The sequence below is a fragment of the Homo sapiens genome, chromosome 9, assembly GCF_000001405.40.
Source record: "Homo sapiens chromosome 9, GRCh38.p14 Primary Assembly".
In the NCBI taxonomy this organism is placed as follows: Eukaryota; Metazoa; Chordata; class Mammalia; order Primates; family Hominidae; genus Homo; species Homo sapiens.
Genome location: NC_000009.12, coordinates 112,352,548 through 112,365,340, shown reverse-complemented (window position 1 = coordinate 112,365,340; position 12,793 = coordinate 112,352,548). Strand labels below are relative to the sequence as shown.

Sequence of the window (12,793 nt, the reverse complement as noted above, 5' to 3'; positions counted from 1 at the left end):
ATTCAATTATCTCCCACTGGGTCCCTCCCACAACACATGGGAATTATGGGAGCTACAAGATGAGATTTGCCTGGGATCACAGAGCCAAACCATATCAGTGTCCATCAATGGATGAATGGATAAAGAAAATGTGACATATGTATAGATAGATACATACATATATAGATACATAGATAGATAGATAGACATATACAATGAAATACTATTAAGCCTTAAAGAAGAAAGAAATCCTGTCATTTGTGATAACATGGATGAACGTGGAAGACATTATGCTAAGTGATATAAGCCAGCCACAGAAAGGCATGATCTCACTTATGTGTGGAATCTAAAAATGTTGAACACGTAGAAGCAGCAAATAGAAGGGTGGCTGCCAGAGGCTGGGTTGTGGTGGGGGTGGAGGAATGGAGATATGTAGATTACACGGTACTGAAACTGTTAGATAGGGTCAGTAAGTTCTGGAAATCTAATATACAACATAGTGACTTAGTTAGTGGTAATGTATGTAAGTATGCCTTGTTTTATGGAGCTTCACTTTATTGTACTTCACAGATAATGCATTTTTTACAAATTGAATATTTCTGTCAACCCTGTGTCACGCAAGTCAATTGGTGCCATTTTTCCAATAATGTGTCCTCACTTTGTGTCTCTGTCATATTTTCCTAATTCTCACAATATTTCTTTTTTAAATTTCTTAATTTTTTAAAAATAGAGACAGGGTCTTGCCCTGTTGCACAGGCTAGAGTACAGTGGCGTGATCATAGCTCACTGCAGCCTTAGACGCCTAGGCTCAAGCTATCCTTCCACCTCAGCCTCACGAGTAGCTGGTTCTACAGGCTTATAGTTTTTGTAAAGACAGGGTCTTGCTGTGTTGCCCAAGCTGGTCTTGAACTCCTGGCTCAAATGATCCACACACCTCGGTTTCCCAAAGTGCTGGGATTACAGGCATGAGCCATGGTGCCTGGCCCCCTGGTACTTTTCTTTACCAAAATACTTATAAAAGGTTAGTATGCTCTTTTGCTTTTCTTCTGCTTTGCAAATAACTAGGGCTTTTTTTTTGTCTTCTTGAAATTCTCTTATCAAATTAAACTTTTATTGCCTGTTTTTAAAGATCTTGCTACTGTGAGACCCTGTCTCAAAAAAAAAAAAAAAAAAAAAAAAAAAAAGAACTGACCTAGCAAGCCACAGTGACATGGAGGAAAGTTAAATGCATATTACTAAGCGAAAGAAGCCAGTCTGGAAAGGGTACACACTGTATGATTCCAAATATATGACATTCTGAAGAGGCAAAACTATGGAGACAGTAAAAAGGATCAGTGTTTGCCGGTAGTTAGTGAGGAGGGAGGGATCAATAGGCAGAGATCAGAAGATTTTTAGGGCAGTAAAACTATTCTGTATGATACCATAATGTTACAGATATGTCATTATATATTTGTCAAAATTCACAGAAGGTACAACACAGAGTGAACCCTATGGATTTTGGTTGATAATGATATGTCAATGTTGGTTTATTGATTATATCAAATTTACCATACCAACTGGGGCTGTTAATGGTGGAGGAGGGAGTATGTGGAAACTCTCAGTACTTTTTGCTCAATTTTTCTGTGAATCTAGCACTCTTCTAAAAAATCAAGTCTAATAATTACAAAACAAAAGCAAAAACCATGTGGTATTGGCATAGGGATAGACATATAGATCAATTAATAGAATAAATAAACTGATACACTTATGCTCTATTGATTTTCAGCAAGCATACCAAGACTAATAGGTCAAGAATAGCCTTTGTGTGTGTGTGTGTGTGTGTGTGTGTGTGTGTGTGTGTGTGTGACAGTTTTGCTCTGTAGCCCAGGCTGAGGTGCATTGGTGTGTGGATCTTGGCTCACTGCAGCCTCAACCTCCTGGGCTCATGCAGTCGGCCCACTTCAGCCTCCCGAGTAACTGGGACTACAGGCTGGTATTTTTTGTAGAGACAGGTCTCACCATGTTGCCCAGGCTGGGCTTGAACTCCTGGGCTCTAGAGATCTGCCCTCCTCAGATTCCCAAAGTTCTGAGATCACAAGCGTGTGCTACCAAGCCCAGCCCCAGATATTCGTATTAACTAGATATTCTTATTCATAAAAGAATGAGTTTGGACCCACCCCCTGACTCCATCTCAAAAATTATATGAAAATTAATTTTTCACAGTTTTTATGGTTTTATTTCAACACAAAACATGCACATGAGCTGTCTATTCCCTTTCTTTGCTGTGCTGCCTGGCATTGCGACTGGTGACTCTGATGGCCAGCTGGGCTGCCCTTTCCATGATGGCTTTGCAGTTCCAGAGGACACATTGTGAGCTATCTCAGGACAGTAAGATTTTCTGCATGTCAGCAGCCCTTCCAAGTCCTTGACAATGCGTACCAGAAACTTCCAGAAGCCGCTGGGCAGCATGTGCTTTGTGTTTTCATTGCTTCTCTATAACCAATGTTGGGCATCAAGATCTGGCCCTTGAATCTTCTATGAACGCAGTTGTCTCTGGGTTTCCACCGGTTATGCTTAATTTTGACATATTGTTCTGACTGGTGGTGAATGAACTTCTTGCTCCTCTTTTTGATGATCTTGGGCTTCATGAGGGGTCTGATGGTGGCCATGATGGTGAGTAAGAGATGGCTCTAAAAATCAACCCCAAATGGATCAAAGACCTTAAATGTAGGAGCTAAAATTATAAAGCTCTTGAAAGAAAACATAAGGGTAAATCTTCATGACCTTGGATTTGACAATGGATTCTTAAATATGACACCAAAAGCACAAGCCACAGAAGGGAAAAAAAAGAAGATACATTGAACTTCATAAGAATTAAAATAATTAATTTGTGCATCCCAGGACACTATCAAGAAAGTGAAAAGACAACCTAGAGAATGAGAAAAAATACTTATAAATCATATACCTGATAAGGCTCCAGTGTCCAATATATACACAGAATTCTTACAACAGCTACAGAAAAATGAACAACCCAACTAAAAAATGGGCAACGATTTGAATAGATATTTTTTCTTTTCCTTTTGCTAGACAGGGTCTTACTTTGTTGCTCAGGTGCAACCATGGCTCACTGCAGCCTCAACCTCTCCCTCTCAGTTATCCTCCCCTCTCAGCCTCCTGAGTAGCTGAGACTACAGACTCATACTTTTTGTAGAGACAGGGTCATGCCATGTTGCTTAGGCTGGTCTCAAACTCCTGAACTCAAGCAATCCTCCTGCCTCAGCCTCCCAAAGTGCTGGGATTACAGGTGTGAGCCACAATGCCTGTCCCCAAATAGATAATTTTCTAAAGAAGATATACTAATGGCAACAAGCACATGAAAAGATGCTCAATAGCATTACTTAGGGAAATGCAAATCAAAACCACAATGAGATTCCACTGTACACCCACTAGGTTGACTATAATAAAAAAAAGGAAAGTAACAAGTGTCGGATGGGATGTGGAGAAATTAGAACCCTCATACGTTACTGGTGGAAGTATAAAATGGTTCAGTAGCTTTGAAAAACAGTTTGGCAGTCTCTCAGGTTAAACACACTTGCTAGTTCCCGAATGTCCACAGTCAAAAGAGCAATTCCACTTTTTGGTATGTATACCGAAGAGAAATAAAAACATGTTTAGAGTCACCACCAGGTGGCACTGTTATTTTAAAATTCAAAATTGTATAATGCCACAAAATGTTAATTTATTAACAATATTGTGATATAATAATTGACTTGGGTTAAGGCAAAAATAACAAAGTTTTCTATAGCTCTCAAAAAAGGAAAATAAGGTAGAAATTTAAATGTCTTAATGAAAATAATGCTTTGAATCATTAAAACAGGATATGATACTCCAATCCATTTTATATTATTAACGTTTTCAAAATTACCATAAAATGGACAAAGTTATCTTCCCTTGTTTTGTGGCTTCTAAAGTCTATGAAGTTTAGGCTGGGTGCCATGGCTTACACCTGTAATCCCAGCACTTTGGGAGGCCGAGATGGGCAGATCACCTGAGGTCAGGAGTTCAAGACCAGCCTGACCAACATGGTGAAACCCCGAATCTACTAAAAATACAAAAAAATTATCCAGGTATGGTGGTGGAGGCCTGTAATCCCAGCTACTTGGGAGGCTGAGGCAAGAGAATCATTTGAACCCAGGAGGCAGAGGTTTCAGTAAGCCAAGATCTCACCACTGCACTCCAGCCTGGGCAACAGAGTGAGACTCTGTCTCAAAAAAACAAAAAATAAATAAATAAATAAAGTCTATGAAGTTTAATTCTCCAATGTTAAAAAGTAATTTTCAAGTATATAGGAGATTGAAAATGCCTGATCAAATTGAAATATTAAAGGATATGACACTGACAACAACTTTAAGCTTAAGTTATCAAATAAGGACTCTCCTAACCCTGAGCTTGCATAATAATCCATTTTTTAAAGTGTGTAATTTAGTAACCTTCCAATTTCTTGACCACAACCCACAAAAGGAAATAAATTATTTATTCAGACCCAGTACAAAGTTTTTATTCTATTTTATTTGAATCTTGTCTGCCTTGTTAAAAAAAAAAAGTTGATTCTAACCTACTAAATAAGTTTGGTGACTCATTAATGGATCGTAACCTACTGTTAGTCGTATTATAACTTGCCATTGAAATTTTTCCATTTGAGTTTTAAGATGTTTTAGGCTTCTCCAGTGAAAAATAATGTTACAAATTGATGGTCAGAGGCCAACAACAATATAATGTGACTCAGAGCAGATGATTTCAATGGCTTTGAGAGAGTCCCACATCTCTTAAAAATTTCCATTTCCTTTACCCACAAGACAGCTCACCCTGTCTCAGAATCACCTGAGAAATCCTTGTGAGCCAGAAACTGTACCTCATGCCTGTAATCGTAACACTTTAGGAAGCCAAGGTGGGAGGATCACTTGAGCCCAGGAGTATGAGACCAGCCTGGGCAACAGTGACACCCTGATTCTACAAAAAAAAATTTAAAAATTAAGCCAGGTGTGGTGGTGCATGCTTGTAGTCCCAGGTCCTTAGAAGGCTGAGGTGGGAGCACTGCTTGAGCCCAGGAGTTTTAGGCTCCAGTGAGCTGTAAGTGCATCACTGCACTCCAGCCTGGGCAACAGAGCAAGACCCTGTCTTGGAAAAAAAAATTCCTTTGGGTTTTAGGGGTGGTAGTTGCTTCTGATAATGTACCAAGCCTTCTGCGTAGAACTCCGAGCTGTGCCTTTTCTTGCTCCATGAATTATTGCCAGTCATTATTTAATTAGTAACTGTTGGATATTAACCTGATTATTGCATTTTAATGTCTATATATTTCTGATTCATGATTCCAACAAGCTAGAGAAACTGAAAGTTCCTCTTTAATACTACCCTTCAGAGATAATCATGTTAACATTTGGCATGTGTCTAAGACTTTGAAATCTTTACATTAATTTTTATAGTTTTTAAGCATGGTGAGATTATGTGTATATTGTATTGTTTTGAAACTTGTTTTTTTTTTGGTGTTTTGTTTTTATTTTTTGAGATGGAGTCTCGCCCTGTCACCCAGGCTTGAGTGCAATGGCACGATCTCGGCTCACGGCAACCTCCGCCTCCCGGCAACCTCCGCCTCCCGGGTTCAAGTGATTCTTCTGCCTCAGCCTCTAGAGTAGCTGGGATTACAGGCACCTGCCACCATGCCCAGCTAATTTTTGAATTTTTGTAGAGACGGGGTTTCAACATGTTGGCCAGGCTCGTCTTGAACTCCCGACCTCAGGTGATCCACCTGCCTAGGCCTCCCAAAGTGCTGGGATTACAGGTGTGAGCCACCGTGCCCAGCCTGAAACCTGTCTTTGGCTTACCTAGTATATTATAAACATCTTTCCACGTTTACATCTAAAACTTTTTTTTCTTTTTGAGACAGAGTCTTGCTCTGTCGCTCAGGCTGGAGTGCAGTGGCGCGATCTCAGCTCACTGCAACCTCTGCCTCCTGGGGTTAAGCTATTCTCTGCCTCAGCCTCCCAAGTATCTGGGACTGCAGGTTCCCGCCATCATACCCGGCTAATTTTTTTTTTCTATTTTTTAGTAAAGATGGGGTTTCACCACGTTGGCCAGGCTGGTCTCAAACTCCTGACCTCAGGTGATCCGCTCACCTCGGCCTCCCAAAGTGCTGGGATTAAGGCATGAGCCACCGCGCCCAGCCTAAAGCTTTTCTTAAAAGTAGATGCGGTCAGGTGCAGTGGCGCACACCTGTAATCCCAGCACTTTGAGAGGCTAAGATGGGAGATTCCCTGAGTCCTGGCGTTTGAGACCAGCCTGGGCAATATTGGGAGACTGTCTCTACAAAAAATTATAAAAATTTTAGCTAGGCATAGTGGCACATGCCTGTGGTCCCATATACTCAGGAGATTGAGGTGGGAGGATCGCTTGAGCCCAGGAGGTCGAGGCTATAGTGATTGTGCCACTGTACTGCAGCCTGGGTAACAGAGCAAGACTCTGTCCCTGCTCCAGTGCCCCCCAAAAAGAAGATGCATCATTTTCCTTTTTGTGAATGTACTCCAAATTGATTTTACCATTCTCATTTGTGATTGACATTTTTTTCTGGAGATGAGGTCTTGCTATGATGTTCAGGCTGGACTTGAACTCTTGGCCTCAAGTGAGTAGCTGGGACTACAGGTTCATGCCAACTTTCCTGGCTGTTATGATAGACATTTAAGTGGTTTTAAAATTTGTCTTTATTATGAATGGTATTTGCCATAAAAAGCCTTTGTGTATACATCATTGCTCACTAGTCATATCTCCATAGAATACATTTCTAGAACTGGGACTGTTTGCTCAGAGGATATACACACTTAATACCCTTTAGCAAGGTTATGCTAATAATTCATACCAGGATTTCTCAGCCGTGGCACTATTGACATTTTGGGTTGGATAATCATTTTTTGTGGGAGGCTGTCATGTGCATTAGAGTATGTTTAGCAGCATTCTTGGTCTGTACCCACTACATGCCAGTAGCATCAGTGGCACCCTCCTTCCAGTTTGTTTTTGTTTTTTTGAGACAGAGTCTCACTGTCTCCCAGGTTAGAGGACAGTGGCATGGTATCTACTCACTGCAACCTCTGCCTCCCACGTTCAAGCAATTCTCCTGCCTCAGCCTCCTGGGTAGTTGGGATTAAAGGCACCTGCCACCACGCCCAGCTAATTTTTTATTTTTTTTAGTAGAGACAGGGTATCATCACGTTGGCCAGCCTGGTCTTGAACTCCCGACCTCAGATGATCCACCTGCCTTGGCCTTCTAAAATGCTGGGATTACAGGCATGAGCCACCGCGCCTGGCCAAATTTTTTTGTTTATTTTTGTAAAACATACCTAACATAAAATTTACCATTTTAACTATATTGAAGTGTACAGTTCAACGGCATTAAGTACATTTACATTGTTGTGCAACCATCACCCCATCTATCTCCAACTCTTCCAGTTTTGTCAACCAAAAATGTCTCTGGAAATTGCCAAATGTCCTCTGGAGGCAAAATTGCTCCAGTTGTTTACACCTTCTCCAAGGTGAATAAGAAGTCAAAAATGTCGATGTCATAAAAAAATAGAAAGAAAGTCTAAGAAGCTGCAATAAAGAAGAAATGACAATTCAACGCAACACATAATCCTGAACTGGTTCCTGTATAGAAAAAAAAAATTGCTATAAAGAACACTATTGGCAGGCTGGGTGCAGTGGTTCACACCTGTAATCCCAACACTTTGGGAAGCTGAGTCTAGCAGATTGCTTGAACCCAGGAGTTTAAGACCGGCCTGGGCAACATGATAAAACCCTGTCTCTATAAAAAATACAAAAATTAGTAAGCATGGCTGCCTGCGCGTAGTCTCAGCTATTCAGGAGGCTGAGGTAAGAGGATCAACTGAGCCCAGGAAGGTCGAGGCTGCAGTGAGCTGTGATTGCACCACTGCACACCAGCCTGGATGACAGAGCAAGACCCTGCTCAGAAAAAACAAACAAACAAAACAACAACAACAACAACACAAAAAGAACACTACTGGAAATTAACAAATTGGAATATGCAGTAGAGATTAAAGTATTGTATCAGTAATGAATTTCCTGATTTGACAACTCTGCTGGGTTATGCAAGAGAATTTCCACGTCTTAGTATGAAGTATTAAAAGGTAGAGGGAGGCCGGGTGCGGTGGCTCATGCCTGTAATCTCAACACTTTGGGAGGCTGAGGTGGGCGGATCACCTGAGATCAGGAGTTCGAGACCAGCCTGACCAACATGGTGAAACCCCGTCTCTACTAAAAATACAAAAAAATTAGCCGGGTGTGGTGGCGGGTGCCTATAATCCCAGTTACTCGGGAGACTGAGGCAGGAGAATCGCTTGAACCTGGGAGGTGGAGGTTGCAGTGAGTTGAGATCACGCCATTGCACTCCAGCCTGGGCAACAAGAGTGAAACTCTGTCTCAAAAAAAAAAAAAAAAAAAAAAGAGGGAAATGAATATACACCTGCTCTGAAATGAAATGGTTGGGGCCAAATTGTGTGTGTGTGTGTGTGTGTGTGTGTGCGCACACGCAATTGTCTCAAAAGCCTCTTGAGTCTTTCCCTTATATCTCTGACAATCCCACTGCTCCAAAGTACACTGTGGGTTTTCCTCAACTTGGAGCTAGATACCTGGAATTCTAGAAAACAATTCCCTCAGTAGACAATTGCTCCCTTATATGAGCACAAGCAGCGGAGTGACTACATGGATCAAGCTGTATTTCACCATTTTTTTTTTTTGCTCTGTTGCTTTATGTACCACACCAGCCCCACACAACTCTTCACCAAAGAGTTGTGGAATTATTGCATAAGAGAAAAAAATCTTAACTATATGACAACTGCTATGTCACACAGACTGCTAGTGGCTTACCCACTACTTCTTACCAACATTATTTTTAGAGGTGACAATATAACCAGCAAAAACACTGCACCTCCCAGCCACTTTTACAGCCAGGGATGGCCACATGACCAAATTACGGCTTATGAGACGTATGTGGAAGATGCTGGGAAGGACTTCTGGGAAAGCTGCTTTAAAGAGTTTCCAGTCCGGTACTGTGGCTCACACCTGTAATCTCAGTACTTTGGGACGCCGAGGCGGGTGGATCACCTGAGGTTAGGAGTTCTAGACTGGCCTGGTCGACATGGTGAAATCCTGTTTCTACTAAAAATACAAAAAATTAGCTTGGTGTGGTGGTGTGCGCCTGTAATCCCAGCTACTTGGGAGGCTGAGGCAGGAGAATCCATCTAAGAGAGAGAGAGAGAGAAAGGGAGGGAGGAAGAAAGGAAGAAGGAAAAGAAGAAGGAAAGAAGGAAGGAAAGAAAAGAAAGAGAAAGAAAGAAGGAAGGAAGGAGAAAGAGAAAGAGAAAGAAAGAAAGAAAAGAAAAGAAAGAAACTTTTATTTCCAGGTGGGGTGTGGTGGCTCCTGCCTGTATTCCCAGCACTTTGTGAGCCCAAGCCGGATAGATGGCTTGAGTCCAGGAGTTTGAGACTGCCTGGCCAACGCGAAACCCTGTCTCTACAAAAAAATACAAAAATTAGCCAGGCGCGGTGGCGCATGCCTGTAATCACAACTACTCAGGAGGCTGAGGATTGCTTGAACCCAGGAGGTCAAGCCTGCAGTGAGCTGTGATCACGCCACTGCACTCCAGCTTGGGCAACTCCCCAACACCCACCCTCCACAAAAAAAAAAAAAAAAAAAAGAAAAAGAGTTCTTAGCCATTTTGTAATCTTAAGAATGATGAAAGCCATATGCTTATGTAATGGAAACAAAAGAAGACGGGTCTTTGATGAACATGAAATGGAGTGTCATATCAGCCCTGAAACCACTACTTCTGAACTTCCTTTGCATGAGAAATACATTTGTATCTAGTTTATCTTGTTACTGAGTTTTCTGTTGTATGCAGCTGGACCTAACTCTTAAATGATACTCAGTCTGAAGATAAAATTATCACAAGAATATAAACCATCGCAAAGGCCTTGAGCACACCTGGATCCCTACTATTGCCCCTTGTCTTCACATCTGCATTTCTTTCTCAGAGCATTGATGTTGTTCAAATTTCCTTCTTCAACATTTCCTTTAATATCTCCCTCCTCCTTTCAGTAGATTCCAGGCCCCACTCACAGGGGTTGGTCTCATACCAGGATCCATCCTCTTTTCCCAAGCCAAGCATTTTCTCAGGTCTGAATTATTCATTTGATTTAAAATATGGCTCTAGCAAGAAAATCCACGGTGGGTGTGGGTAGTCCAAGTTCAGTTCCCTTGGAGATATTTCCACCTAATTCCTCCTGGTGCCCAGTAAATAACTATTATGTTAAACACACCCACATCTCCCAAAGACAGGCATTAATTCTGAGAAACGGTATTACACTGTGAGTACATGTACGTTTTCCACGCTGAGAAAGAGAAACATTTGACTCCTATAATCAATGTAACTTTACCCCTGCTCACTATCAAGATAGCATTTTATTTTGCAGAACAATGTCAGCTCTTTTTTATCTTCTAGTTTTCAGATTGTGCCTAACCAAGCATTTAAAAAAAATAAAAAGATGTTTGAAATTAGCTTAAAAATCAGGCCCCCAAATTGAGCTATCCATCTCTCTTTCTTGTTACTGCTTTGCTACACCAAGATCAAGCTTTGGAAATACCCCATGTATTTATTCTGTGCCAAATTAAATTTTTGTAGGTGTCATCCTCCTACTACCCTCTACTAAATTAAATTCTTGATTAAGGTCTCATACTCCCACTGCTCCAGAACAGAGGCAATATGAGGACTTATTATCCTCTGATACAAGTAATCCTCCACCCCCAGGGGGGTGGTATGGAGAGGAGGTTTGCTTTTCCAGTTACATAAATAACATATTCTTCACAGAGCAGCTTTCCAGGCTGTATTTTGTTGTTTTGTTTTGTTTTTCTGCTACTGACTTTTTGCTTGTTTGCCTGTTCAAGGCTGAACATTTGCCAGTGCCCTGTGGGATCATCTGCAGTGAAATATTTTTCAGAACCATATTGATACGGGAGAACAACAGCTTCACCCAGTTGTTTGGTAACCCAAGAGCTTTACCACTGACCTTGTGGGCTGTGGTTTGCTTTTTGCACAGGGCTATTATTTCCACTAAAGACAAATCAGGAAACATAAAACAGATATACCCTAACCAATCTATCTGGCTCCTTGTTGAACAGATATGTCAAAAGATTTAGAGGAGAGGTTTGAATTTGTAGCCAAAATGAAGGCTTTGTTGTAGTTGTAAAATAAAATGTATGGTTCCTATTAGTGATGTGGTCTCAGATAGCCGAAAAGGAACTATTTTGTCCATTATAATAGCAATTACAATATTATAAGCATCTATATATATTTTTTTTTTAATGACAGAGTCTTGTTCTGTCACCCAGGCTGGAGTGCAGTGGCATGATCTTGGCTCACTAAAACCTCTACCTCCTGGGTTCAAGTGATTCTCCTGCCTCAGCCTTCCGATTAGCTGGGATTACAGGCGCCAGCCACCACGCCTGGCTAATTTTTTTGTATTTTTGGCAGAGATGGGGTTTCACCATGTTGGCCAGGCTGGTCTCCAACTCCTGACCTCGGGTGATCAGCCCGCCTCAGCCTCCCAAAGAGCATCTATATTATATTTATTTACTTCAAATATCTGTAGACAAATAGAATGCCAAGACAGGAAAAGTAAATCAACTCTATTAGCACAGAAGGCTAACTTCAGGTCAGGGAGCAAGAGTTATACATAACAGGTTAAGTGGAAAAGAGGGGAAAAAAAGGAAAAGAGGCCAGGCGCGGTGGCTCACACCTGTAATCCCAGCACTTTGGGAGGCCGAGGTGGGTGGATCACCTGAGGTCACGAGTTTGAGACAAGCCTGGCCAACATGGTGAAACCCCGCCTCTACAAAAACTACAAAAAAAAGGAAAAGAAAGAGAGTTGTCCCTTTTTCTCTGCTACCTTACTCACAGCTGTCTCTTTCACCTTCACTTCTTTGAAAAGATTAGGGTAACTCACAAGCTAGTGAACTGGTTTGGACTAGGTAAGTTAGGGGAGAATCATGTTACGGGCTGGTGAAAGGAGAGAATCCATGGCTATTTGAGAAGAGTGAAAATATTTTAATGAAAGTCATCAGCTGGGCGCCGTGGCTCACGCCTGTAGTCCCAGCACTTTGGGAAGCCAAGGTGGGTGGATCACTCGAGGTCAGGAGTTTGAGACCAGCCTGGCCAACATGGTGAAACCCTGTCTCCACTAAAAATACAAAAATTAACCAGGCGTGGTGGCAGGCACCTGTAATCCCAGCTACTCAGGAGGCTGAAGCAGGAGAATCGCTTGAACCCGGGAGGTGGACATTGCAGTGAGCCGAGATCACACCACTGCACTCCAGCCTGGGAAAGAGCAGAAGACTCTGTCTCAAAAAAAAAAAGAAAAAAAAGAAAGTCATTAATTGGTACTTAACTTCAAAGGAAGATGGCAGTCTAGGAAAATACACAAAAAAATGAACCAGAACCAAAAAAGAAATTTCAACTATAGTCAAACTATGCAACTGACATGACCCATTACAGACTGTGAAGAATAACTTCAATTTGTACCCAAATCAAGGAAAGCGGTGAGATTTGACAAACATTTCCTCCAAATAGTCACTCCGTGCCATTTTTAGTGAGTAAACGAGATGTTCCTGAAGGCCCAGAAGCAATTTGAAATGTGAAGAAATAAGAACTGGGACCTAGGTGCACCACGGAAAAATTAAGAAATACACCCTGGGGTTCATTTTCAGACGTTAAGG

The 12,793-nt window shown here is 41.6% G+C and overlaps 1 protein-coding gene and 1 pseudogene across 4 annotated transcripts in view; one reads left to right on the top strand and one right to left on the bottom strand.

The window, feature by feature from the left end:
* Positions 1–12,793, top strand: part of PTBP3 (polypyrimidine tract binding protein 3) — a 162,168-nt gene that overhangs the window by 14,542 nt on the left and 134,833 nt on the right. The window lies entirely within an intron of this gene.
* RPL32P22 (ribosomal protein L32 pseudogene 22) lies at positions 2,179–2,631 on the bottom strand (annotated as a pseudogene).